At 44.1% G+C, this 27794-nt stretch overlaps 1 protein-coding gene and 1 long non-coding RNA gene across 9 annotated transcripts, besides 5 other annotated features; one reads left to right on the top strand and one right to left on the bottom strand.

Annotated features, from left to right (window-relative positions):
• Positions 1-28: 28 nt before the first annotated feature.
• LOC105373064 (uncharacterized) lies at positions 29-15399 on the top strand. The gene is made up of 4 exons (NR_146602.1): positions 29-617; positions 1096-1139; positions 1441-1724; positions 15259-15399. It is a non-coding gene; the product is annotated as an uncharacterized LOC105373064 (long non-coding RNA).
• Positions 272-772: an enhancer, noted in NCBI's record as "H3K4me1 hESC enhancer chr22:45586750-45587250 (GRCh37/hg19 assembly coordinates)". NCBI's record gives its function as "activates a minimal SCP1, AML or CMV promoter by ChIP-STARR-seq in naive H9 embryonic stem cells {active_cell/tissue: H9 hESC(naive)}" and the evidence as "EXISTENCE:reporter gene assay evidence [ECO:0000049][PMID:30033119]".
• On the bottom strand, positions 3624-27716 carry NUP50 (nucleoporin 50). 8 transcript variants are annotated; one of them, XM_011529833.2, is made up of 9 exons: positions 26686-26962; positions 25525-25776; positions 23395-23473; positions 19958-20041; positions 15561-15747; positions 12741-13403; positions 10274-10355; positions 8121-8239; positions 3624-7188 (listed from the first exon to the last, which is right to left on the bottom strand). In XM_011529833.2, exons 3-9 carry the CDS (start codon positions 23461-23463, stop codon positions 6986-6988), a joined length of 1407 nt encoding a protein of 468 aa, XP_011528135.1. In that variant the 5' UTR covers positions 23464-23473; positions 25525-25776; positions 26686-26962; the 3' UTR covers positions 3624-6985. The 8 variants fall into 8 exon arrangements, with proteins under 8 accessions (XP_011528135.1, NP_009103.2, XP_024307914.1 ...); NM_153645.2 differs by lacking the exon at positions 25525-25776 and adding an exon at positions 20464-20653 and having other exon boundaries at positions 3630-7188; positions 26883-26970; NM_007172.4 differs by lacking the exons at positions 25525-25776; positions 26686-26962 and adding an exon at positions 27345-27716.
• Positions 26945-27124: a silencer, noted in NCBI's record as "silent region_13874". NCBI's record gives its function as "represses an Ori minimal core promoter by ATAC-STARR-seq in GM12878 lymphoblastoid cells {active_cell/tissue: GM12878}" and the evidence as "EXISTENCE:reporter gene assay evidence [ECO:0000049][PMID:35858748]".
• Positions 27155-27384: a silencer, noted in NCBI's record as "silent region_13873". NCBI's record gives its function as "represses an Ori minimal core promoter by ATAC-STARR-seq in GM12878 lymphoblastoid cells {active_cell/tissue: GM12878}" and the evidence as "EXISTENCE:reporter gene assay evidence [ECO:0000049][PMID:35858748]".
• Positions 27155-27787: a biological region, named in NCBI's record as "H3K27ac hESC enhancer GRCh37_chr22:45559735-45560257".
• Positions 27265-27787: an enhancer, noted in NCBI's record as "H3K27ac hESC enhancer chr22:45559735-45560257 (GRCh37/hg19 assembly coordinates)". NCBI's record gives its function as "activates a minimal SCP1, AML or CMV promoter by ChIP-STARR-seq in naive H9 embryonic stem cells {active_cell/tissue: H9 hESC(naive)}" and the evidence as "EXISTENCE:reporter gene assay evidence [ECO:0000049][PMID:30033119]".

Here is a 27794-nt window from a genome sequence, read left to right as displayed (position 1 = left end):
AAATGCATTTCAAGTTAAGCTTTTAGCCTCCACAAAGTAGTGCACACCCTTTCAGTTGTACTATAAAATTTCCCAGGCTTTTTCAGAGAACCTCTTAACCCTCACAGAAATGGAAAAAATGGAATAGAGGCCAGGAGCCCCAAGTTCAGGTTTTGCAGGCTCCAGGTAAGCTGGCTGATCTAACGGAAGATGAGGTGTTTGCAGCAGGCGTCTGTCTTGCAGCTCAGCAGGTGAGGGGACCTCGAGCAGGCTCTCGCATTTTCCGGCTGATCCTTCCGAGTCTGCTACTGCAGGGCCCTCGTAGGTGGGAGCAGCCTCATCGTCGCCTTTCACACTGTGAGCTTTTCCTTTCCACGGTCAGATGGACTTAGTGAGTTACCAGCGATGGATGTTAAGACCTAAGACACCGCAGAAAGTTACAGAGTGGAAAATGAGGGGCAGAGAAAAGAGGGTCTGAGAGGAACGCAAGCATTCCGGAATACAGTAAGGGACATCCCATCAATGACACTTCTTGGGAACAGCCACTGCCTTAGAAACACCAGACCAAGAGAATTTTCTGACCACAACCCCAAAGGCAGCCCATGAAGATGGAGGTTAGGAAGGAGGCGGTCTAGCAGGTGAAGACTTCCTTGCCATCCAGGTCAACCCCCTTCTTGTTGAACAGTGGGAAGTCCTTTTAAAGCAGTCACCTGAAAAATGTTTAATAGAAATTTGGGGAGAGTCTCTATCTTGGAAGCTGCCTGCGGGAACCTCATTCCTATTCATTGCCTCCTCTTGGAAGGCTAATCTGCTATTTCGGTTCCTTTAGCCTTAGATGAGCTTTTAGGAAGTACTGTCATGCCCTAGCTTAGAAGGAAAAAAGGTAACTGGAAAGGAAAACCTTTGGGAATCTTACACTGGGAGGAGAGGGGAATGTAACTCAATCCATATAATAACACAGTTCATTGTAAATAGACATGTTGACTGTGGTAACATGCTGTACTTTGTGCCTGATTGTTAAAATGCTAAGAACAGCTGGAAAATTTACATGAGGAAGAGAAAATACTTGTTTCTGGGGATAAAGAAAGGATCATGTTGTCTTTTCTTTCCTTACAGTGTCACTGAATTGCCCCTGACTTAGCCTCTCCATCAGCCAACAGGTTAGAGAGTTCTTTCCTCTGTGTGGACTGGGGTCTTTCCTCTTGGAATCTGATTTTAATGAAACAATTAGGTTGCTCATTTTGAAATAACCATGGCTTTTAGCCAAATTTTATGCTACTCTGAATAAACAATTTTGCTTAAAAGATTTTAGCCACTTCCAGAAGCCAGTGCAGTTGAGTAATTTAGTGGGCACGTATATCTCACTTAACGTGGCACGCTGGGGAGAGGTGTGTGGGGCTGGGACCTCAAGCTGCACCACCTCAGACACACTTAACCCTGGGCCTGGGTTTTCTCAAGTAGAATCACCACTTTCCTTCCTGGGACGCGACGATGTTGAAGTGAGACAAGGTTACGTCCAAAGGCTGGCATAGTTGCTGGCAACGCTGATCACTACTGCCATTTCTTCCCGGCGTGTGCAAGGGGTATTTCACGGGCCATCTTTGGAGTCATCGGGAGTGCATGTGCCAGCGGTTCCCAAATGTGAGCATGCCTCAGGATCACCTAATGCACGCTCTAACCCAACGTTCAAACCCAGAAGACCGGTGAGGAAAATACTTTGGATCAGTGATGACGGCTGCACCACTGTGAGTATACTAAAAGCCACTGAATCATGTACTTTAAAGGGGTGCAGTTTATATGAATTCTATCTCAATTTTTAAAAATGGGCTCCAACCTGAGGCGCTGATTCAGTAGCCTAGTTGGGGCCCATGGGTTAGCCTTTTGTGGGGGGGTGGATGGGCACGGACAGGGTCTTGCTGTCACCCAGATTGGAGTACAGTGGCGCAACCACGGCTTACTACAGCCTGGATCTCCTGGGCTTAAGCGATTCCTTCCACCACCATGCCCAGCTAATTAAAAAAAAAAAATTTTTTTTTTTTCTAAAGACAGGGTCTTGCTGTGTTGCCCAGGTTGGTCTCTAACTCTGGGCTCAGCAATCTTCCCACCTCAGCCTCCCAAAGTGCTGCAATTACAGGCGTGAGCTACCTCGCCCAGCCGGGTTTGATTTTTTTTTGTTTTTTTGAGATAGGGTCTTGCTTTGTCACCCAGGCTGGAGTACAGTGGCATGATCACTGCTCACTCCCTGGAGCCTCCACCTCCTGGGATCAAACCATCCTCCCACCTCAGCCTCCCAAGTAGCTGGGACTACAGGTGCATGCCATCATGCCTGGCTACATTTTGTATTCTTTGTACAGCCAGGGTTTTTGCTATGTTGCATGTTGGGGACCAGCCTCAACACCACCCGTAGGGTACCCGAAGTCTGGTGGCGACAAAGGATTGAGAAGAGACAGGTTAAGAGTGAAGGTGGGAGCCAGGGGGCCAGTTGCAAAATGTGGAGGCTGCAAAAGGCTTAGAGCTCTGGTCTCCACACTATTGAGTCCAATCACTTAGATTTAAGCAGATGTTCGGGGCGAAACAGTGGAAGGGCGGCGGCGCGTCACAGGCATCATCTACGGCAACAGCGGTTTCAACGAACCTCCTCTGTGCTGCTCAAACAGCGTATCTTTATCGGAGAGTAGCTGGTGGGAGCGGGCTTAACTCGGAGCCTGCACGTCTGTCCGCATTCCAGTGTTTCAAAGGAGTGTCTCTCTCCTTGAACACAGTGTTTACAGATACGAGAGCAGGTCTCACTCTGAGCATGGGAACATGATGGCAATTAGGAGGCTCTCCTCCTCAGAGACCTCTTGTGGCTTTCCACAACTTAGTGTCCTGTATTTTTATGGCCAGTTTATACAGGCACCCCACAAGCCCTTTTCCCAACAGTTGCACAGGCTGGTCTCAAACTCCTGGGCTCAAGCGATCCACCCACCTCGGCCTCCCAAAGTGTTAGGATTACAGGCGTGGGCCACTGGGCCCGGCCGGGCTTGCATTTCCATCAACTTCTTATGTGTCAGTCCCAGGACCACTCTGAGAACCCAGGTTCTAGCCCAGCCATGCAGCTGAGTATCTAAACAGGGCTGCTGCGGCTCAGGTGCAATCTTCCTCTTCAGATGACATTCTCTTAGTGTCATTTAGTTTCTATTAGATGTTAACGGTTCAGGAAAATACTTTGATGGATAACTTAAATCTTTGCAATATTATTTTTTTAAACCAGAAAATACCCCTTATAAACCAAATAAATGCTGAGTAACATAGGAAAGGTTAAAAAATAAGTCTCAAAGGTTTGCTTTGAGGACTAACCAAGGTAATACATATAAAGCACCTAGCCAATGCTTTGCACACTAGCCCATTAAGGATCAATTGTTCCCATTCCAATCTGTTAAGATTTTAATCCAACAGAAACCCTTGGTCTGAATGGTTTAAAAGTAGTCTCGGCCCCCAACAAGGAGTCTGATAATAAACTGGTCTCTCACTCACCTCCAAGCTGACCTTCCTGTTGTTCAAGGAAGTTTCCGGTTGCAGCTTCTGCGTTGATTCTTCTTCCTCAGGTCTGTCTGACTTGTATTAATGCCAAGTGCATCACAGAGGAACATAAGACTCACACATTGGGATTTTGTTTACTTTTCATTTATTCACATTTCATGGATTGTTACACTTCCTCGATGGGAGCATTCAAAAACTAATACAAGCTGAGATTATATTGTCTGACAATTCAAGTATTTTAGTTTTAGAAAACAATTTCCTATTTAAAGTAAAAAGCAAACAATTTATCCATCTGATTGCTAAGAAGTTTTACATCTCCATTACAATTGTGTCTGCATCAAACGGAGAGTCCTTCGTCCTCAGTATGATTGTTACTGGCTGAGAACATACGGTGACCTGTGTTCTGAGTGCCTGCTTGGAAAAGACCTCCCTGTCATCTGCCATACTACGGGACAAATCAGTATCTACTCAAATTCCCACTTCCAGAATGAGAGGACTCATCAGGGGTTTAGGAGTTTGCAAAGCCTTCAAAATGTATCGTGCTTGAATTTTGACTCTTCTGAAATAGAATAACTGACAAATGCTCAAAAAACAAACTTGTTTAACTTTTACTGAAAAGGCTCTCAGTGAAAACTTGTTTTGAACTCTACTAGTAAGGTAGAATATTAGTTTTTCTTCCCCTCCACACCAGAAAAGGCAGTTTTCTCTTTTTTTTTTTTTTGGCATGCAGCATATATAAAATGTGATCTAGAATTGAAATTGTAAAACAGAATAATCCTCTTAAAGAAAATCAGCCTATGAACAGTCAGACTTGTCCTTCCATGGAAAACATAATCTAAACTTCTTTAAAAACTGGCCATATTTTTTCAGTCTGTAATTCGAATAATGAAGATGGCATAACAAATTTTTTTGCTTACTAGGAATGCGCAAAAGGATGAGATGGATACACAGGTTTTAAAAAAAAAAAAAAAAAGGCCACTGGGATATTTAGTATTTGTCCAGATGCAAAACAATTTCAGAATAACAAAATACACACCTTGCTTTAGGCCACGTATATGATACACTTCATAGATTCTCAAACAAAAGATGAAAATTTCAGTCCACATTAAACATTTTAAAGCATAACTTCTAATATTTTGTTAAAAATAAGTCAAACTAAACGCATAAATCAGAATTACCTGTTAACATAGTGGGGAAAGTAGGGAAGCCCTCCAGGGGCCCCGTGCCCCAAGTAAAAGACAAGGAGTTAAATTTTACAATGAAATCCACGTATACTCAGGCTCTTTACACTAATAATCAAAGTGGAGACCAACCAGTTCCTAAAGCATAAAAGAGTGATTTTAAGAAAATATCACATTTTGAGTTACGGTATATTCATCACATTTTTCCCTGTAATTTTCACTTTAACAGTGATAGTCTTAGCAGCAAAAATTTGCTGGGAATGTTAGGAAAAAAGGAAGCCACACATACCTACTAATTTAAAAATATATAAACTATTTTTTACAGAAGGGCAGGTTTAAAAGAAAATCCAATCATGATCTTTTCATGCCATTTTTTGTCAACTTTCCATACACACGCAGACGCTAACAAAGTACTGTGTCATATACACTGAAGTGTCCTGAAGATGCCTGTGAGCTGCTGATTCCAGCTGGTACCAGGGAAGCATGTGTGGCTAAGTTGCAACAAACTTAAATTTGTTCCCCTTAGTTCTTCATCTTTTTAAAAGCTGAATAAACTTAATGTCAATCGGGTGGGGCCGGTATTAACAGCATCAACCGCTTGCTTACTATGAATCATCCGCAACAGAAACCCACGTGCATTCTCCATTCTTAAAAAGTCAGTGTAAAACTAACGGCCACTTCCTCCCTAGGTGCCTACTATCGCTATGTCTGACAGCATCTGTAACAGGACAAGCTCACCTCTCTCTACACGGATTCATCCAAAGCCACACACTAGGCCAAATTCTCCCAGTGGAATCAAAACACTGGAAGTAGAGCAAGAACCTCATGCCAACATTGGCCCAATCACACCTCAGTGACTTAGGAGTTCATCATATTTGATCATAAAATTGCTCCCGGCGCCAAACCTTACACCTAAAGACTGTAGTTTTAAAAAGCCACTGTACCGTCCACAATTATTCTGACCACTCTTTTCTAAATGGAGAATGTGCTACGCACTGAAGATCAGAACACACACGCGGGAGCCCTTGGGCACTGACCCTGAGCCTGTACACAAGATCAGCTGGTACTAGTCTCAAATGATTCATGAGGACTCAGTGGAAATTTAAACATTCAATTCTGTGTATCATTCATGTGCCCAGAGTCTTCAAAGAATGCTCGTGTTAGTTACCTGACACCTCTGGAGAAGTGACAGGGATATTCGTGTGAATAACCATGGCTCCCTTCCAGACAGACATATGGAATCTTACTCTTAAAAAAGTAAAGATATTTCAGATATCAAATGTATTATAATATACTGCGGTCTAAAGTTAAAGGCAAAGTTTACACACGATTTTCTCTTCCATGACTTTATTACATGTTTCCTAGTGAATTCACACGGCTCGTGTGTCAAAGCTCCCAGGCACGTCACTTGGTCACAGTTTTCATGTGCGTGGGGTTGATCATGGTACAAATGCCTATGCGCATCTTTTTCTCGGATGGTCTCATTTGACTTTCATTTCGTAAGGGTTCACTCTCCATGGTGTAGATGATAAGCTACCACATTTGTGCTTTTAAACCCATTCCTGGCAATCCCCCTTTATCTTCATTTTGTCTTTAGGGGGATAAAGAAGTAACACTACCTCATGAATAGAAACTATGAAGCCAAAAAACTCCTTCACAAGCTGTTCATTTCTTTTTAGAATGAAAATGCAGGTCCTGAATTCTCGTGAAGCAGCCCACAGGGTTACAGGCCAATGATTCGAACGCTGAGGTGAACACTTAGTACTCGCATTTGAGCTTCAAAGTAAAAATAAAGCAGAGGACAAACGCCTGTCACAGCGTGGCAGCCCGGTTCATTTGGTAACAGAACAAGTCTCACACGTCGGCTGAGCCCACCGGAGAGAAGCACACAGGCCAGCTTCCTTCTGAACACAGCCAGGCACCTGTTCAAAAGCCTCTCTCGTGGTGGCGGTGGACCCCAAAACCCACGGGTTGGAAGAGCCTTTGGGAAAGCAAATTGATACCCTGATTGCAGTCCTTGAAGAAATCACTTAGGGTTAGTTTAATAAACGAACATTAAAAAATCTTCCAAAAATTGCATTCAAATGTATTTTACACTTTAGGCAGTTCTTAAGAAGGGAGAGTGCAGTTTCTTGACACTTAACATTTAAAGGTTTTATTGGCCACATTAATCTTCCTCACAAAAGTTTTAAGTTATCTATAAGTTCTTAGAATGTCAAAGAAGAGAAGAAAAACTGACTAACTTTAAGGGGCGGTGGAAGCAGCAGCAACTTGGCAATAATTCTGCAGCCGACTTTGCGTGTTCAGGCATCCTTTTTCTCCAGTAAAATTTTGTGCAACTCGTCTGCATCCTCGCTGGTTTTTACCCGAATCAACATGGTGACTGGCATGGTGGCATTCTTCTCGTCAATTGGTGGATTTGGAACACAGACGATAAGAACGTTATTCTTCCCTGTTCGCGTACATGGCATATTGGGTGGAATCAGAACGTTCAGCAATATGTTGCCTGCATTCAAACAAACAAAACCCATCAAAATTATAGAAGCTATAGCTCCACCAAAGGAGTCTGTAATATGCTAAACATTAAATGCTGAAATAACTTAATACATCTAAGACAGGGAGCCAACAGGACAGCACAAAATCAGGACTGGTTCCCTGAGAACTGGGAGGCCTCGGGGAGCACTTGCCCTCACTGTGAGGAGTGGCCTTCCGTCCTCCCTCCAGCCCGGGTCTCTGCACCCACACAGCGTTTCTCTCAGAGCCAGCAGCCTCGCTCAGAACCGTCAGCCCTCTCAACACTGTCCGTCTTTGCACTGAAGGAAGAACACGGTGGCACAACCCAGTGTCTTCACTGCGCCACACGGACAAAGGACACCTCTGTCACAGGCCGGCACAGCTCCCTGGGCAAAAGTGACACGACCATGTTATTACTCCCTAGTCAAGCCCACGGGAAAGAAAAATGCCTCCCTGGAGTTTCTGCAACACAGCCCCCTGTTCTCTACCACTACTGCCCGCTCCACCGCAGGCCTGCCCCGTCTTCCTCCTCCTCCGGGCACTAGGATCCTTGCAGTGGACTCTTTTCAGGTTAAAACTGAGGATGGACAGCAAGCAGTTAGTCATTACTTGCTATATAAAAAGGATTCCTTTAAAAGGTTAATTTCCCTTGGGTGTTCATTAAATGGTCTAATCTCTAGCTTCTTAGTCACATTTCTAACACAAAGGAAAATGAAAAATCATTTTGTTTACAGCTTCTAACACATTTATGTTTCCTTACACACTATTATCCTGGGACTCAAAACTATAAATAAGTAAATACAGGATGAATTTGGCCTGAATGCGCTCTGTTTAAAAACATATTAATAACCTTGAGTCAGCAGGGTAAACGCTTTTATATACTATGTGATGATGATTTTGTGCTAACTGAAAAAAGGTACCCACCTAAATTGGTGTCTGCCCGCACCAAAAGCTGTGTCTTCTGATTTGCTGTAGGTTTTAAATGCAGAGTACCTATGCCTTTCTCTTTAAACTCATTGTCTTTCTTGTAAAACAGTTTACACCTATGGAGAAAAATAATAGGGACCATCAAGCATTCAAGGACGAATCAAGTCACACAGTTTTCTAACAACCACTCTTCACACTTGTGTGGAAAATCTCTATTAAATGAGTACAGGAAGCTTCAGGATAAATCTTTAATTGATCCAAACAGAGCCTGAGCAAAAACCAGAATAAGAAAATCTGCTTAGAGATTTTAAAACTCCTCCCCATTTTTTCAAATTAAACAGTGGGCCCCATGAAACTTTTTATAACACTTTCTGAAACTGTGTTCTCAAGTCAGTCAAAATCAGGGCTCAACACCAACCCCCCCCCCCCCCCGCCCCCAACCCCTGCCATTCTGCTCCTTTGGCCCTGAGCTCAAGATCGCCGATCTGGTCCTCTAAAGACAGGAACAAATAAAGGACAAAGACCCTGTCCTATCTCGCCCACCTCTCCCTCCTTTTTTTTTTGTGGCCTATTTCTTATTTTAAAAATTCTCCTCGACCAGGTGCGGTGGCTCACGCCTGTATCCCAGCACTTTGGGAGGCCGAGGCAGGCAGATCATGAGGTCAGGAGATTGAGACCATCCTGGCTAACACGGTGAAACCCCGTCTCTACTAAAAATACAAAAAATTAGCTGAGCGTGGTGGCGGGCACCTGTAGTCCCAGCTACTCGGGAGGCTGAGGCAGGAGAATGGCATGAACCTGGGAGGCGGAGCTTGCAGTGAGCCGAGATTGTGCCACTGCACTCCAGCCTGGGTGACAGAAAGAGACTCCGTCTCAAAAAAAAAAAAAAAAAAACAAACCTCAAGGCTCTTTCAGTTTTTGATTGCACAACATTTTTAAATAAATTTGGAAAACATTCTTGGGTAGGGTCTAACTAATAACAAAGTAATCAAATATCTTCCCAGCCTCCTGTGCTATGCATCTCCTGAGGTTATTAATACAAAACCATGGCTCATGTATTGATTTATGTATTTCTTTTGAGACAGTCTTACTCTGTGGCCCAGGCTGGAGTGCAGTGGCATGATCTTGGCTCACTGCAACCTCTGCTTCTCAGGGTTCAAGCAATTCTCATGCCTCAGCCTCCCAAACAGCTGGGATTACAGGCGTGCGCCACCACATTAGGCTAATTTTCATATTTTTAGTAGAGACGGGATTTCACCATGTTGGCCAGGTTTGTCTGGAACTCCTGACCTCAGGTGATCTGCCTGTCTCAGCCTCCCAAAGTGCTGGGATTACAGGCATGAGCCACCATGCCTGGCCTCATTTGATTCTAATTAAAAAAAAAAAAAATCTTAAAGTTGGGTCACTCCTTTATGTCATGTGAGTAATGAAATTTAAACACAGAAGAAATTGTTGGCCTCTTTTAAAAGTTCTTGAAACTAACACCTGGGAATCCCACAGGATGTGGTGACCTGTTCATGGAAAACTGCTGGCTCATTATTCGGAAATTTTTGCATTACAAAAACACATCTTTGAAAGCTTCTGAAATGGCACAGATGTTTTTTCAGCAAATATCTTTGTAAAAACTAATCTCATTTAATTGAAAGGAAGATGAAAGTTTTTATAAGTCCTCAACAGGAAGGGACGGTTACTGTGCTTAACTTTTTGACTATGAGAAAATCCAGAAAGGCCAACCAAGTCTCCAGGAAGGGATGAGAGATGCCTTCTGAGGCCAAACCTGAAATCACTGACTGACTCTGCGATTTCTTTGTTGGGGAGGAGGAAGGGGAGGGAGAAAGACACAGGGAGAGAAGACGGGATGGAATGGGATGGGATGGGATGGGGTTGGGAAGATCATGGAAGATCCTGTCTCTAAAGCACTTTAAAAGAGCTAAAGTGACAGAAAAGAGTGAGACCTGCCCACCAGGACATTTCTAGAACTGGATTTTTAAATAAACTGGCCAAGAATTCTTTCCTGTTCCACTTGAGAGCAGGCAAAGCTTGACCCCGAGACTGGAAGCTCAGTCAAGTGCCGTGAGGACATTCTCCAGCCTGAAGCATGCCACCATGCCTGCAAAACACATGCGCCAGCAGGTTGTGGGGATTCTTACTTTTTGGAGTAAAAAGCATCTTCTTCTTTTACTTCGGTAACTACTACTTTGGGTGGCTCATCATTCTCTTCTTCATCTCCACCTTTTATAAAAATGACAATAATTCAGTAAGATTCCAATCCAGAGCTTAAAGAAGTGACTGAAGTTTTGTTACGTAACACCCTAAACCTCCACCGGAGCACTCCATGTAAACTGACAGACTAAAATGCACACTTAATGGGGGGGGGGGGGGATGCCAGAAGGGAGTACCTGCAGGATTTTAACTATTTTGTGAAAAATAAGAATCCCTTTTAATGGGAACATACCTCTTAATTCTAAAATAACTTCCAATATATAGAAAACCTTAAAATGGAAAAATCTCCATGCTTATGACAGAAAAAAAAAATCAACACTCTATATGCAAATTACCCACTGGAAAATTCCATCTCGGATGAGTTTTTAACACCTTCACCCCTGAATATTCCTGTGACTACATCTACAAGTATCAGTAATAGCCAAAGATAGAAAAATACTTTTTTTTTTTTTAACAGGGGACAAGTTGTCAGAAAAATCATTCCAAAGCCCCAGTGTAAGTAATTTAAGCTTTGTCTGAATTGCCACATGGGTCACTGCTCTGGTACCAAAGGTATCCCCACTAACGGGGTCTCCCAAACACGGGAGACCTAGGCCATCATTTAAACACATGTATTAGGCTGTGTACAGTGGCTCACGCCTGTAATCCCAGCACGCTGCAGGGCCAAGGCAGGAAGATCGCTTGAGCCCAGGAGTTCAACACCAGTCTGGTCAACATGGTGAGACGCCCCCCATCTCTACAAAAAATAAAAAAGTTAACCAGGTGTGGCGGTACGTGCCTGTGGACCCAGCTACTTGGCAGACTGAAGTGGGAGGATTGCTTCACCCCAGGAGGTAGAGGCTGTAGTGAGCTATGATTGCGTCACTGCACTACTAGCCTGGGTGACAGAACGAGACCCTGTCTCAAAAAAATAAAAAACCCCACATATATAAAAGGATCCTCTTAAAGAGAACGGCAGTTGCATAAAAACTCACCAAAAAGCAATTCTAAGAAAAACAACTGTGATGCTCAGATGATTAGGTCACACGACTGTCCGTCTTATCCCTCCAATCTCCCGAGTCTTCTGATGCTTAAACTGTGATAACCAAGGGACAAGGAACAGGCGCTCACTGAGGGGCATCCTGCCTCCACTGGGACTCGATTCAAATCCCCAGTGCCTGCCTCAGGAAAGACTCCCCATTTGTTTTATTTATGGGAGGCAGAGAAGAAAGAAAAGGGGAGACCCTTATTTCACCCTGTGCCCAGAGGGCCCGTGCCTGAGGATATACTTGAAAGCAGGGCAAGGCAAAACAGTAATGGAAGTCTAGACTCCTGATAGAAAACCGTAATATTTCAGAGGCAAATTGGCAAATGCAGTTTTCTTCCTCAAGGATCAGTATGTCCATATGTCTGAGAAGTACACTTTTTCTTTTGTTGAGGCAAGGTCTGTGCTGCCCAGGCTGGAGTGCAGTGATGCAACCACGGCTCATGGCAACCTTGAACTTCTGAGCTCGAGATACTCCCACCTCAGCCTCTAGAGTAGCTGTGACTACAGGCGCCCACCACCTGGCCTGGCTAATTTTTAAAAATTTTTGTAGAGATGGGGTCTTGCTATGTTGCCCAGGCTGGTCTCAAACTCCTGGCCTCAGGTGAGCCTTCCACTTTGGCCTCCCGAAGTGCTGGGATTACAGGTGTGGGCCACCTCACCTGGCCTCACTTTCAACTGCTTAGAAGTAGGTGTCTTCACAGACATCACCTGTTCACAACCACCATGTGAGGAAGCAGCATCATGACATCACCCCACTTTTTAAGCTAACAACAGAGGTCTGGAGGGCCCAGACCTTGTGCCTTGTCTGGGGCACTGACGATACACACAGGAAACATCACTTAGACACCACTGCCACGCTCTGGAAAGGAGGCGCCTCCAAACCCACAGGAGGAAAACAATGTTGATTTCTTCTCTATGGCTATGAAAAGTCTACATTTGTAATGTATAGTCAAGTACTGTTTTGCCACATGACTTTATTTACAGTGAGATCTCCTAAGTACAAATCAATTCAGGGGACATTCATGATGAACTTGATGAACTTTTCCAAAAACACAATTTTCAAAAAACGTCTTTAATTCACTTGTTTTTTATATGCTAAACCATGTGTGTTTGAGACTTTTCAAAGTCAGGTGTTTTCAAATTCATTTTATTTTTAATCCTTATAAACAACCCTACAAAAGTCTTACTCTTTTATAAAGCAGGAATCTGAAACTCAGAGAAGCTGATTAGCTCTGTCTGAGATCACACATGGAGAGAACAACGTCTCAATGTGAATCCAGACTCATATTTGGAATCAAAGTCTCTGGGTTTCCCAAGAAACAAGAATCTTATGCAAACCTCGACTCAACGACAAAGCTGGTACTTACCTTTGCATTCACCACTGTCACCTTCTGCTTGGCCCTCCAATGGTTTAGTGGGAAATGGTGAAGAGACTGGTTTACTCTGGGTAGTATCTTTGCCAAATAAACTGGAGTTTCCAGGGGAGAAAGAAAATCCAGTCAGGGGGACAGAGCTTAATGAGCCCAAAACAGAGCTATCAACTTTCTTGCCGAAATTAAATGAGGCACTTGTCGCTCCTAGTGATGATGGGTCCGTTTTCTTTTCAGATGCCACCTCCATCTTCTTGTCAGGTGTATCTTCAGTTTTGTTGCCATGAAACAAAAACGTTGACTCTTGCTGTAATTTTGTTGAGCCAAAAAGGGAAGGAGACTGTGTTTCAGCTGCCACTTTGTTAGATTCACTTTCAGAATTCCTGCCACTGTTCCCGTGTTGCTGTTCAATGTTTGCTAAATATTTCTCATAGTCTTTAAAGATAGGTGTCAGATCACAGAGGGGGTTTGTATTCACGTGCTTCACTATCCAATCCCGCACGGAGCAGTTCAAGGCGGCCAACTGCTTGTGATAGGCATTTCCGACACAAGCTTTACTGGAAGCAAGGCCAGAGGAGGAGGGCTGCTGACTGTCCCCATTAGTTTTGGGATTTGAAACTTTATCAACCAAGGTGGTAGGGCCATTTGCAGCAAGAGAACCTATAGAAAGTTAATAATTGAACCATTTATTTAGCCTAATTTGATTAAATCATCTAGATTTTTTTGCCACTCTGCCTTCATACTTTCTGCTTTTACTGTATCTCCCCCCACACCAAGACAGTCTTGCTCTGTCACCCAGGCTGGAGTGCCGTGGCACGATCTTGGCTCACTGCAACCTCTGCCTCCCAGGTTCAAGCGATTCTCCTGCCTCAACCTCCCGAGTAGGTGGGATTACGGGCACCCGCCACCACACCCGGCTAATTTTTGTATTTTAGTAGAGATGGGGTTTCGTCATGTTGGCCAGGCTGGTCTTGAACTCCTGACCTCATGATCTGCCCGCCTCGGACTCCCAAAGTGCTGGGATTACAAGCGTGAGCCACTGCGCCCGACCTACTGTGCCCTATTTTTGTGACCGCTCAAAAAGTATGTGTTCAAGGAGTAGAATTTAGTAACCAGTTATCAGTAAAGCCGATGAATAAAGATCAAGTCAAAGTTTATACAAGAACACTAACCACCATATGCTTGCTCTACACATTTTAAAAATAATCTTTTCCTTCAAAAGGACGCCTATCTGAGATGTGATCGGGCGCGTCGAGGGTGGTGTGGCAGTAGACAAAAGGATGCCTATTTCAAACAGCACTGTTAGAACAGCAGGTCAGCATTAACACTTAATCCCCAAGGTTGTTGGGATGAACAGTATTAAAGTACAGTCGCCCCTCTGTACCTGCAGGTTCTACACCTGTGAAATGCAGTCCTCAGCCAGGTGTGGTGGCTCACGCATGTAATCCCAACACTTTGGGAGGCTGAGGTGGGCAAATCGCTTGAGCTCAGGAGTTTGAGACCAGCCTGGGCAACATGGCAAAACCCCATCTCTACAAAAAATGTAAAAATTAGCTGAGTGTGGTGGTGTGTACCTATAATCCCAGCTACTGGGGAGGCTGATGGGGGAGGATCACTTGAGCTCGGGAGGTTGTGGCTGCAGTGAGCCAAGACCACACCAATACACTCCAGCCTAGGTGACAGAGCGAGACCCTGTCTCAATGCAGTACTCTGGGGATGAGAAACCAGTGGATACGAACACTCACTTTTCCTATCTAAGAGTTATGCTGGTCTGACTATGGGACTTGAACATCCAAGGGGGTGCTGAAACCAATCCCCAGGATACTAGGGGATGGCTGTAGTTAAAAATCTTAACAGAGGCCGGGCACAGTGGCTCGCGGATGTAATCCCAGCACTTTGGGAGGCCAAGGCAGGTGGATCACAAGGTCAAGAGATCAAGACCATCCTGGCCAACATGGTGAAACCCCGTCTCTACTAAAATTACAAAAATTAGCTGGGCATGGTGGTGCATGCCTGTAGTCCCAGCTACTCGGGAGGCTGAGGCAGGAGAATCGCTTAAACCCAGAGGCGGAGGCTGCAGTGAGCAGAGGTCGCGCCACTGCATTCCATCCTGGTGACAGAGCAAGACTCCAACTTAGAAAAAACAACAACAACAACAAAACTTAACAGAGAACACTTATTTTACATCACACTAAACATTCTGCCAAATTAAAATCAAACAGTATATACTCTCAGAATAATCAGCTAAATACAACCCAACCAGTCAGGATCATTTCCAAGCTTTTAACCCGTGATCCTATTCTCTGTTGCTAATTCCAAGAGTTTTTGACTGACTCCCTCAAAACAGGATCAGGCAATCAACACATCCCATACCCAAACAAACCTAGCGTGGGAGGCACCCTGGCCACGGAGAACCGCATCTGAGTTCCCAGTAGCCAGTTTGGTGCGAGGCACACAGAAAGCCCTTGGCACACAAAGGGTCTACATAGCATTTTCTTTTCTCTCTCGACTCTAGGTCAATTCTGAGGGCCACTCTCCTTTCAAAATTGAACATTCTGAGGCCTAGAGGCCAGGGTCACACAACTGGTAGCCAGCAGAGCTGAGAACAAAGCTGAGATGTTTTGGATCAAAAGCCTGTGCTCTACCCACTTACTCTGTAAGTAACCGACACCTCCCTAAGTTCCATCTCTTTCATTATCACCCTGGTTTTGCTCACACAGTTCCAAGACACAGGGTAGCTATAAGAAAAACATCTTTGTAAAGCTATTTTCCATAGATGATACTTACACAGGCGGCTGGGGGATGGGAGCTACTTACCAAAGGCTACCTTGGGATCTGCCGCTGCCTTTGCACTGGCGAAGGGAGGGGCACTGGTTATGTTGTTTCCATTCGACAGTCCTTCCAAAGGCTTCCCTCCAGCGCCACTACCAAATCCAGAAAAGCGTCCTCCTCCAGAAGGTACCACCAAACCTTTAAAACCTTTAAAGGCTCCTCCAGTGTCAGACTGAAGTATGAAGGAGGAGCACACATTAGGTAAGTGTACTTTCTATTACCAAAAAGCAAGTGAGTGACAACAGCATCTTGGCTAAACAGCACCTAGACTCCACATGCAGTCAGCGTTATAAGGCAAACTGCTGGCACAAGCAGAAATAAGAAATGAGATGGGAAGATTGTATTCATAAGAACAGCTTTGCAACCCAAAGCTGCTTTCCTGAAACAGGCAGGAAGGACATTTAAAAAATATATTATGTGTATTTTTAGGACATAAAAGGTAAGAAAGACTAATGCAATAAACCTATGTACCCACCACCCAGCCTCAGAATTACTGAAGCGGCTCAATAAAACTAAATCCCAAATGAAAGATACTTCATGTACTACTCAGTCAAAGACCATTTACTGCCTAAAGAAATGATAAAAACATCAAGGTAGGTTAACTAAAAATATCCATTTGCCTAATTTCTTAACATCTGTGGCTTGCAACTGCTTTCAGCCTACAAAAACTTAGATGATCGAGTCTCAAATCTACATGTTCCTGTTAGCTGAACAACCCGGGACAACTTCTTACTCTCCTTTTCCTCACTGCTTCCTTAAACTCGATTGTTTTAACAAGGTTTTTCTAGTAGGCCTTTTCCCTTTGTGCTAGCCTGCTCACATCTCTAACCTAAGATGCTCTGGAAATGTGTGGCATTCCGTATGAATTCTAAAGCTCCTCTCTGCCCCTGGAACTTTTGGAGAAAGGTTCCTCGGTTTATAGTGCTTTGCTAAATAAACTCACCACAATTTTTAGAAGCCCTTTTTTGTTGTTGTTCGAAGAAGTGATTACATTATAGGAAGTGATCTGCTTCTTAGACCGAACATCTAAGAGACAGTTCACAAATCTTAAGTTTCCACATGAGTGAATTATAACCATGATTTCACCAGAAAAAAAAAAAAATTAAACTGGAACCCCTTCATTTACTAAATGGGCCAGTCAGCCTAAATATTACTGCATGTTTTTCCAAAACCAAAGTTTCAATCTCATCTACAGAATTTCAGATGTTTACTGACCACTGATATATTTAAGGCAATAAAATGAGGCAAAGAATGGAAAATTGTAACTTGTATGAGTTTTAATGCACATAATAAACAGAGCTTAGATTCTGTTGCTCTACATTTGATTTTTCATCATTTAAAATTCCAAACCCGCCACACTGATAGCTGTCATTTTAAAACAATGATTCATGGACAAACTATAAAGCCATTAAGTGGCTTTTCAGAGCCTCCGATTTTGCACAAAGTTAAAAGTCACTTGTAGGGATTTTAGAAATTGCTGATAGTAAATTGGCTCTAGAATCACAACAAAAATTCAAGAACCACAAGTTAAACAAAAAAAAGATATTCAGAAAAATGAGAGTAAAAGTTGATTAAGATATTCATCAAGGGGCCAGGTGTGGTGGCTCATGCCTATAATACCAGTACTTTGGGAGGCCGAGACATTCAGGTCACTTGAGCCCAGGAGTTTGAAACCACCCTGGGCAACAGAGTGAGACCCCCTGTCTACAAAAATGCAAAAATTAGCTGGGTGTGGTGGCGCATGCCTGTAGTCCCAGCTACTCAGGAGGCTGAGGCAGGAGGATTGCTTCAGCTCAGGAGGCGGCGGTTGCAGAGAGTCAAGATTGTGCCACCGCACTCCACCCTGGGCGACAAAGACCCTGTCTCAAAAAAAAAAAAAAAAGGGAAAATACCCATGTGGGCTCCTCCATGGGCACTGACACAGCCCCACATCCCTCAATTTCCCTCATTGGTTTTACTGTTCCCCATGGCACTTACAGAGGAAAAATTAATACTATGTATTTGTTCTCTTCCATAGGGCAAGATGATTTTGGTCTTTTTTACTCACCAATACATCTCCAGTGCTTAGCAGATCTACTGAATCCACTATTTAGGAAAAGCCGCATTTCAGCATTCTGGTGGGTGACATGACATTTAATTGTCCTAATATATGAAAACTTCAGGCTAAGAGTTACAGCTAAAATTATCTGTGGATTTCTATTATCCACCTACACTTAATTTCCCTTAGTTGCCCAAGGGCTCCTGCCCTCTCCTTCCCTCATCCCTTCAGCTTAAGTTGTAGATTATGGTCTGTACTATTTCTACCTCTTGAACTTCCTTCGGTTGCACAGGTGACTGCCCCTCCTTCAGAATGGCTTCCCTTGGCTTCTGCAGTGAGCTTTGTTTCTCACTCCTCGTAGGACCCTCCACCTGCATGCCTCCTGTCGCCCATTCCCATGGCCTCAATCCCCCACATGACGAAAGCTGCCGGAGCTGTGCCCATCCTTGCCATAATTCCTGTTGTATACCTAGTGGTCTTCCAGGGCACTCCACTTGAGTGTACCAAGGCCTTTCAAATACAGCATTTCCAAGACCAACCATTTCCTCCTTAATTAAACTGTCCCTCCCCCCATGTATCTTCCCAGTGAAAGAGCCATCAAATATCACTCAGCTCAACACCTACGTCTACCACCTAGTCACCAGTCAAGGCAATTCATAAAATCAAACCAGACAAAAAAAAAAAAAAAACACCTGAAGTTCAAGAGGTTTACTGTACAACAGGCAGGTAGAAATGTATTATGCATCTGAAAATAAGACCATGTTGTACACCATAAGTATATAATTTTTGTCAAATAAGAAATACAATTTTTAAGCAAAATATAATTAATTAATTACAAAACACAAGACCTAATCTCTAGCTTGGATCTGAGATATGCTTCCTCTGTACCTACTTCCTTTCTTGGCAGTGCAACCCGTTAACCTGAATTCTACATGAAAGAGCTTTTACAACGTCAGGAAATGAAGCTCCTCTCATGCATCTGAAGCATGCAATGGAGCAGAGAAAGAGCACACACTTATGACATTAGCCATGGCATCCTAAAGACGTTCAAGACTACCCAGAACCACCTGAGAATCGATTTCATGTAGGATTACGTATCTCTGCCTCGAATTACACTATATTGGTATATACAGTAATATATTTTAGGAAAATTGCGAATACTTTATTTTTATAATTTGAATTGTTTTCCCATTAACACATACCACCATTTATGAGACGCTCTGAGTGACTGGCTGTTGTAAACGTCTTACTGACTGCCTCCCCACCACTGCCACCTACCTGGCTCCCTTCCTTACGTTTTCAAACTTTAATACATTTTATGATCAAAACTTTGGCAATGTAATGAATATTTTTGTAATAACAATTTCTTTTCATTGCTTCTCAAAGTGTGAATGATACACCTTTCCTATCCTTTTTTTTTGGAAATAAAAGGGAAATAAGCTTGCATGTCCCTTAAGGAGAACGCTCAGGAAAGTAAGTATTTCCGCTCCCAGGAAGTCTGCATTATGCTTACTGGCACGGCACCTCTAACCTGACCATTTGAGATCCTCCAATGACTATTTCCTTGGAGCATCACGTTGGTGCTCAAAAAGCTTCAGATCTTGGAGCATTTTGGATTTCCAGATTAGAGACACCCAAGAATATAGTCTATTCTTGATGTTTTAAACACTGCAAAACGTGAGGTAGGGTAGGTTTATTTCAAAGCTGCCACCCAGGATATTCAAAGCGGCATCTCCTGCCTAACACCAGATGTCCAGGCCACCAAGACCACACTCTCCTGGGTCTAGAATGTATCTGAAGGGAGAGGATGTACTGGGGACGAGTTCTTAGATGCGGAGTGACTGCTTAATAATCAGCACATTATTTCAATTTAGGAGTTACAACTCATCTTCCATCCTTCTTAGCACAGGAATGAATCATTTTAATATACTATACTAGCAAAAAATCCACACCTAAAATGCCTCTAGTATAGTGAAAGGGCTCCCCCTACCAAGGCCTCAATCGCAGGGAGCAGACAAGACTCTCAGAAGATCCTTGCGTTTTCCTTTCTTCCTCCAATCTGATGCCACTTCGCCCACCTCTGTATTGCTTTGCTCATTTTTCTTCTCCAGATTGTCACTCAACTTGAATTTGTCTATATTTATCTTATTTCCTCAACTGGATAAGCTCTCTTTAAGGTCCAGACCTGACGTTTCTTATTTTTTTCTATCTCCCATGACCTACATCAAAGAATAAGTATTTTAAGAAAGCATTTGTTGATATCATTGCTCCCAGCGGAGGGATTGCTGTGCAACCCAGAAATCAAATGAGTATTTAATAGCAAGAGCTGTAAGGGGGCACTCACTTCAAATCCAACATTTCTGCGCTTTGCTTTCTTTATGGCTCTATTCTTCAAGACTTCCTCACTGGCCATGGAGAATGTTCCCACCTGCAATACAATACAAATTAAGCAGCAGTAAGATAAAGCCAAACAGATGACAAAATCCTCAACAACAACAACAAGCTAGAACTGAGCCACTGTGTCCGGCCTCTCAAAAATAAATTTTGGCCAGGCACAATGGCTTGCGCCTATAATACTAGCGCTTTGGGAGGCCAAAGGTCAGGAGTTTGAGACCAGTCTGGCCAACATGGTGAAACTCTGTCGCTACTAAAAATGAAAAATTAGCTGGGCATGGTGGTGGGCACCTGTAATCCCAGCCACCTGGGAGGCTGAGGCAGGAGAATCACTTGAACCCTCCGGGAGGTGGAGGTTGCAGTGAGCCGAGATAGCACCACTGCACTCCAGCCTGGGCAACAGAGCAAGACTGTCTCAAAAAAATAAATAAATAAATTTTGTTATTTATAACATACACATGATTTTTAAGATGAGTCCTGCCCAACTTGCCCACTGTACGAAAGGCCACGGAGGCACCTAGGACCTTGCTGGACAACCACTGCTCTTCCACAGTGCGCTCAAAGCACACTCATGTCCACACTTCTGATGTCCACGTCAGAAAGCTGCTGAATATCTTCGGCTTTAGTTTATAGCCCTTCTTTTACCCTGTAGGGTCGGAATAAAATATTTCTCATGCAAAAATTCTCACCTATAGTTGTTTCAGATCATATTAAACTTAACGGGCTCCTACACTCATAGAGGGGACCATCTGGCTGCACTTGCCCCAAGTTAAATGTACTTAACTAAATGTAATCTTTCCACACATTTCATTGGCATATGTTCGAATGGGAGTTCTTTCATTCCTGAATATTTTAATGTCTAAGCAAATAGTTACATGGTAATCTAGATGTTACTATAGCCCAGAATGTAACTGTGCTTAAGATCTTAAACCAACAACAACAAAAAACCAAAAACCCCCATAACCAAAGATTTTAGTTAAAAAGCACCAAATCAGTTTTGACCCTGTCAAAACACTCACATCCTTGGGATTCTGGTTTCCCTAAACATATGTGAGGAGATACACTTGTAGAGAAAAAAAGTACTAGTACCAGAAAGATTCCAAAAGAAGGAAGATGGCCGTCTAAGAATAAGCTTGGAAACAGTTGCAGTTTTAACATTTTTCTTTTTTCACTTAGCACTATGCTGTTAACCTGAAAGTCGTGGTTACAGATTTCCTTAGTCATCTGGCCTGGGGGTAACACACTGCTGATAAGGTACGACTGTAGAGTCCAGCCCTACTGGGCTTTGCGGGTGTTCTCCTCGAAGGGGGAAACAGAGATTGTAAGAAATAAAGACACAAGACAAAGAGATAAAGAGAAAACAGCTGGGCCTGGGGGACTACTACCACCAAGACACGGAGACCGGCAGTGGCCCTGAATGGCTGGGCGTGCTGATATTTATTGCATACAAGACAAGGGAGCAGGGTGAGGAGGATGAGTCGTCCAGGGGATTGACAAGGTCAAGCAAGTCACGTGATCATGGGACAGGGGCCCTTCCCTTTTAGGTAGCTGAAGCAGAGAAGGAAGGCGGCGTACGTCAGCATTTTCTTCTATGCACTTATCAGAAAGATCAAAGACTTTAAAACTTTCACTATTTCTTCTACTGCTATCTACTAAGAACTTCAAAGAGGAACCAGGACTACGGGAGGAGCATGAATGTGGACAAGGAGTGTGACCACTGAAGCACAGCACCACAGGGAGGGGTTCAAGCCTCTGGATGACTACTGGCAAGCCTGGACAATATCCAATCTCCCACAAGAAGGTGGTGGAGCAGAGTGTTCCCTGACTCCTCCAAGTAAAGGAGACTCCCTTTCACGGTCTACTAAGTAACAGGTGCCTTCCCAGGCACTGGCGTTACCACTTGACCAAGGAGCCCTCAAGCGGCCCTTATGCGGGCGTGACAGAGGGCTGGCTCACCTCTTGCCTTCTAGGTCACTTCTCACAATGTCCCTTCAGCACCTGACCCTGTATCTGCCGGTTATTCCTTGGTTATATTAGTAGTACAACAAAGAGTAATATTAAAAGCTAATGACTAGTAATGTTTATACTAATGATTGATAATGCCCGTGATCATCTCTGTATCTAATTTGTATTATGACTATTCTTATTCTAACTATTTTATGTATTATACTGAAACAGTTTGTGCCTTCAGTCTCTTGCCTCGGCACCTGGGTAATCCTTCGCCCACATCCTATAAGTACAGCTGTGTTTTATTCTTTGTTTTTTAGACAGGGTCTCACCCTGTTGCCCAGGCTGGAGTGCAGTGGTGCAATCACAGGTCACAGCAGCCTTGAACTCCTGGGCTCAAGCAAACCTCCCGCCTCAGCTTCCCAAATTGCTGTGACTATAGGCTCATGCCACCATGTTCAGCTAATTAAAACAATTTTTTGGGGGGTTGGGTGCGGTGGTTCTCGCCTGTAATCCCAGCACTTTGGGAGGCCAAGGCGGGTGGATCACTTGAGGTCAGGAGTTTGAGACCAGTCTGACCAACATGGTGAATCCCTGTCTCTACTAAAAATACAAAAATTAGCTGGGTGTGGTGGTGTACACCTGTAATCCCAGCTACTCGGGAGGCTGAGGCAGGAGAATCACTTGAACCCGGGAGATAAAAGTTGCAGTGAGCCGAGGTTGTGCCACCGCACTCCAGCCTGGGCAACAGGGTGAGACTCTGTCTCAAAAAAAAAAAAAAAAAAAAATTTTTTTTATAGAGACCGGGATCTCTCTATGCTGCCCAGTCCTACTGTTTATAAGGGAAAAATGATCAGATTTCCTCAGGGGAGACCATTTTTATTCTGCTGGAAAAGGAACTAGGCCAATCTCAATTCTATTCCTATAAATGCAATTGTTAGGGGTCTCAGGTCTACCATTAAGAAAAGGAAATAAAGCAGGCCTCCAAGAAGCATTAGGGAAACGGAGTACCACAGACCAAGATGGTGATGGTGTACCACTTTCACATCTGGGCAGTGTGCTAAGTTCATGACTACATCACTTAACTCAGCCTTCAGTCATGACTAAAATGGCTTACTGCAAACATGGGTTCAGAATGCTTCAAGTATACGAAACTCAGGAGGAAAAGTGCTTCTACTAAGGAGAATATTTAAGGAGCAGGCACTAGTGGAAAAGCACATCTAAATGTAATTAATACATTTCTACACTAACTAGAGGTCACAGAAATGTAATTAATAAATATCTACACTAAGTACAGGTCATATAATTTCTTGTCATCTCCCATTCATGATGTTCTTAGAAAGGTCTTTTAGTTCTGTCACAAGTCTTCATGAGGAACCCCAAAATGAATGTAAAAGGCAAAAGAAACAGGAAATCATTCTTAGGGAAGCTGCTTTTTACCTCTTCAGCTTCATCTTCTTGATCCCAATTCCTATCTGTCAGTTCCTTCTCGGCATTTCTTTTGGCCATGTTTTCGAACCTAAGTTATAGAAAACAGAAGAGTTTATTTTTCTAGAAGAATAAATTCTTATAAAGAATTTTAAAAATTCACTCTAGCATGAAGTGAGATAAAAACATCTCTGGTTTTTTTATCAGGGAAAAAAAGCATCTGGAAACTGCTTTAATGAGAACTTTACATTGGTGCTGTTAGGCTCCCAGTGTTACAAATCAATAAAGGCTTTTTCCAGGAGGCAGAAGAAGATTCCTAGGGAACACCAGCAGTCCTGAACAACACTAAACCGACTCCATTTGGAAAAATTAAAATGAAATATCAATTGATTTTTTAAAAATCTGGAATCTGAAGTACTGTATATATAATCAAAAAGTCCTTAACTTATTCTACGCATATACATACTGAAAGTCTTGTCATAAAGAAAATAATTTTAATATTTAAAATTCTCTTAAAGATGACCCATTAAAGAAGTGTATCTTTCAGTAAGAATACGAATAACGGGCTGGAAACGCCTCCACAACACGAATACTGTTCTTTAAGCTACAGCCGACAGAGATACATGGTTCCCAAGACTGAACATTTTGTTGCTTCAAATTGTATATTGCCAAGACAATTAGAAGTCCAAAATGATTAACATGGGTGTGTTAGTATTCTGGGAACTTATAACCTTTCAAAAACAAATCATTGGCTTAACTCTTCAATACGATGGCATTAGTGGAAGGGGCAGGAGTTGGGGAACGGCGTGAACTCTGCAGTGGATTCCGGCACCTAACCAAAGAGGGTGCTCCTGTCCATCCCTTAAAATTTACGATTTGTTTTCTGATCTTAATATCATAACAACAAAACAAAGAAAACCCACAACCCAGAGCTCCGCTATGAGTGTTGTGCTGCCTTCTTCACTAACTCTCCAGCTGGACAAAAAACCTTTCCATTTCCCCTGCTACCCACCTCGCCCAAAAACTTACTGATTAGTTTTGGGGACCTGCCAGGTCTTGTTAAACCTGCCTGAACTCCTTCGTGATACTCTCCCCACTCTTGTTTGCTCTCAACACCACAATACACCAGAGTAAGCTTCCTTATTCTGGTGTATTGTGTAATACAGAGTGTATTACAACCCCACAAAGTGGTCGCTAAGATATGAGGTGACATATCACTCTTTAGTATCTAAAAGTAAAATGCAAATGCTGGTATTCCAAAGGCCTCTACAATTTGATGGCCAGTGGAGTAATTACATACGGGCTGTCAGCTTTTAATACATTTTAGTGATTTTTAAATTTTGTAAGTTTATGCTATTTTTCTGATTACAAATGATATTAAAGTCCAAGATTCTAAAATATAAAGGATGAGAAATAAATACACTTTCCATTCGCTGGGAACCCTCTCTTTTTAATGTCCACCCAAAAACACTTGGTTAAGTTTTGCCATTAATCTTTGTCATACAAACAAAAACAAATACAGGAATAGACATAATTCTTTACTGTGCAGAAACCAGGTCTCTGTACGGATTCTTTTTGGCAATTTTCCTACTCATTAACTAATGTCTCCACCAGAGGGTTGGAGAAGTAAGAAGTCACCAACGGTCACGTTTGCTATTTAAGATTAACTGTGGGGCCAGCGAAGTGCCTCACGCCTGTAATCCCAGCACTTTGGGAGGCCAAGGTGGGCAGATCACTTGAGGTCAGGAGTTTGAGACCAGCCTGGCCAACATGGTGAAACCCCGTCTCTACTAAAAATAAAAAAATTAGCTGGGCGTGGTGGTGGCACCTGTAATCCCAGCTACTCCGGAGGCTGAGGCAGGAGAATCTCTTGAACCCAGGAGGTGGAGGTTGCAGTGAGCTGAGATCGCGCCAATGCACTCCAGCCTATGTGACAGAGCAAGACTCCATCTCAAAAAAAAAAAAAAAAAAAAAAGAAAAAGAAAAAAAAATTAGCTGTGGAGAAAAAAGGGATGGAGCTGAATACACAAAAACTGTAATAGTAAAATTGTAACTTCTAACTCATACCCACAATGAAGAGACAGGTGACGCAGTAAAATAGTCTAAATAAATGTAGGGGCTTCCACGTCCTAACATACTCACCAAATCAGTATATAACCAAAACGCAGGGATCTTTGTTTTGTTTACAGATATACTCCAAATGCCCCAACAGTGCCCAGCTCAAACAGCAGGTGTCCTGTCTGTCATTAGATCAGTGAGCTGGGGAAGTATTTCCCCAGTGAGCATAAAGTATTTCAAAAAATACTAAAAGATGCTGGCATCCCAGTTTTGCCATTTTCTAGCTGTGAGAACTTGGGCAAGTTATATTTAATTTTTGTGCCTCAGTTTCTTCATCTGTGGAACAGGAAGTATTAAGAAAGTTAAGATAAACAAAGACTGGCTTAGAACAGTGCCTGGAGCAGAGGAAGGGCTTAATAAATTATTAAAGAAACAAGTTTTATTAGAAGCAAAGGCTATAAACTATCATTTTCCCTCCAAAACGTAAAAGTTGTAGCATGGAAGAAGAATAACTTGGATTACAAACCAGATTTTTACAAATATTTTACCAAATCCCTATTTTATTTCAAAGCATGACACTTCAGACAATACATTTTACTTTTATGCTAGAAGTGGGGGGGAGAAAAAACCCTCTGTAAAATATTCAGAACAAGGCCTGGCACCTGGAGTCTTATGTCTAGCTACTGTTATGAAGAACTTAAGGGAGGCGGAAGGATCTCTTGAAGCCAGGAGTTGGAAACCAACTTGGTCTCTACGAAAATAAAGATGGACATAGATTAGATGAATAGAAATAAAAAATTAGCCGAGCGTAGTGGCGCACGCCTGTGGTCCCAGCTACTTGGAAAGCTGAGGCAGGAGAATCACTTGAGCCCAGGAGCTTCAGGCTACACAGTGAGCTACCACTACACTGAGGCCTGGTGACAAAGCAAGACCCAGTCTCAATCAAACAATCAATAAAAGGGAATTTAAAAAACGTTTGCGTTTGTGGGTAAAAAACCAAATTAGACATGATTTCTAGGTATGAAGCAACGTGGTGGGAGACTGAAAGTCTAGGTAAACTGGAAAAAAACATTATTTGTGCCTGATATAGTTATGTGGTCTCTGGCATCTGGTGTAGCTCTGCCCTTGGAAAGCTCAACTTGTCAACATCACCTTAAAACGAAAACACAGATTTGGCTACACTTAATAGTGAAGTGCCTTGTTGGAGGAAAACAACAAGGGGGCCAAGTAAGGAGACAGAAATACCTAATCTCCAAGCTGGTTCTTAATGGAACCGAGCAAATGGGTGATGAATAACCCGGGAACGCAGTAAGACAGGCCAGAGAGGTAATGCGCCCAAGAGAAGAGAGACGAGGGGCGGCCAGGGGGAGAGGAAGCTCGAGAGGAATCGCTAGGAAGGAAACGGAGAAGACCACGCCAGGACAGCCCTGCCAGCCCCCTACCTCCGGCGGGGCCGCAGGGGAGAGTCTCACTCGAGTCGGACGCCGCAGCCCGGTGGGGCCCGGGCCCCGCTTCAAAAACAGCCGGGGCTGCGTCGCCGCTGTCATCCCACCCCACCCTCCACCCGTCGCTCCCCCACCGCGCGCCCCGCCCGGCCCGTGCGCCCGACCCAGGCTCCCTCCCTAGAGTCCCGACCTCTAGCCCTGTACCCCACTTCCCAGGGTCCCGTCCTCCAGCCCCTTAAGCCCCTCCCCAGGGTCTGGTCCCCCGGCCCCGCACCCCTCCCCAGGGGCCCGTCCCCCGGCGCTGAACCCGCACCTCCCTCCCCAGGGTCCAGTCCCCAGCCCTGCACTCGCACTCCCCTCCCAGGCCCGAGCCCGCTCCCGCCCTCCCGGCCCTGGGCTCTCAGCACCAGGCTCCCGCCCTCAGCCTCTTCTCCTCCCGCGCCCGCCGCCGCTCCTCACCTCCTCGGCGGCCGCCGCTGCACTCGCTGGGTCTTGGTTGCGGCGAAACCCGGGGCGCAGCGGCGCAGGGGTCTGGAGCCCGCAGGGGTCGCCGGGCTGAGCGCGCTCGGCCGCTTCCGGTGCTGCGCTGCGGAACTCAGAGGACTTAGTGCTCGGCAAGCCCAGAGACTCAAACACCATATCCCTGGGGGGGCTCCTCACGCTGTGTTCGGCAGGGAGGCGAGAGCGCCGGTTCAGCCAGAGACAGCTGGGGGAACCGCGCCGAACACGCTCCGGGCGGCCATTTTGTAACTCGAATCTACCCCCAAAACCAATTCGAAAAAAAGGGAGGAAAGAAACGCCCGCGTTCAGCTACTGCGCAAGCGCGCCGGCGCTTCCGGCAGTAGCACCTCCTTCCGCCGGCCGGGCCCCTTACGCGGCGCATGCGCCCAGCTCCCTGGAAACCGGCGC

The sequence above is a fragment of the Homo sapiens genome, chromosome 22 (genome assembly GCF_000001405.40).
Source record: "Homo sapiens chromosome 22, GRCh38.p14 Primary Assembly".
In the NCBI taxonomy this organism is placed as follows: domain Eukaryota; kingdom Metazoa; phylum Chordata; class Mammalia; order Primates; family Hominidae; genus Homo; species Homo sapiens.
This window is presented reverse-complemented; position numbering and strand designations above follow the sequence as displayed.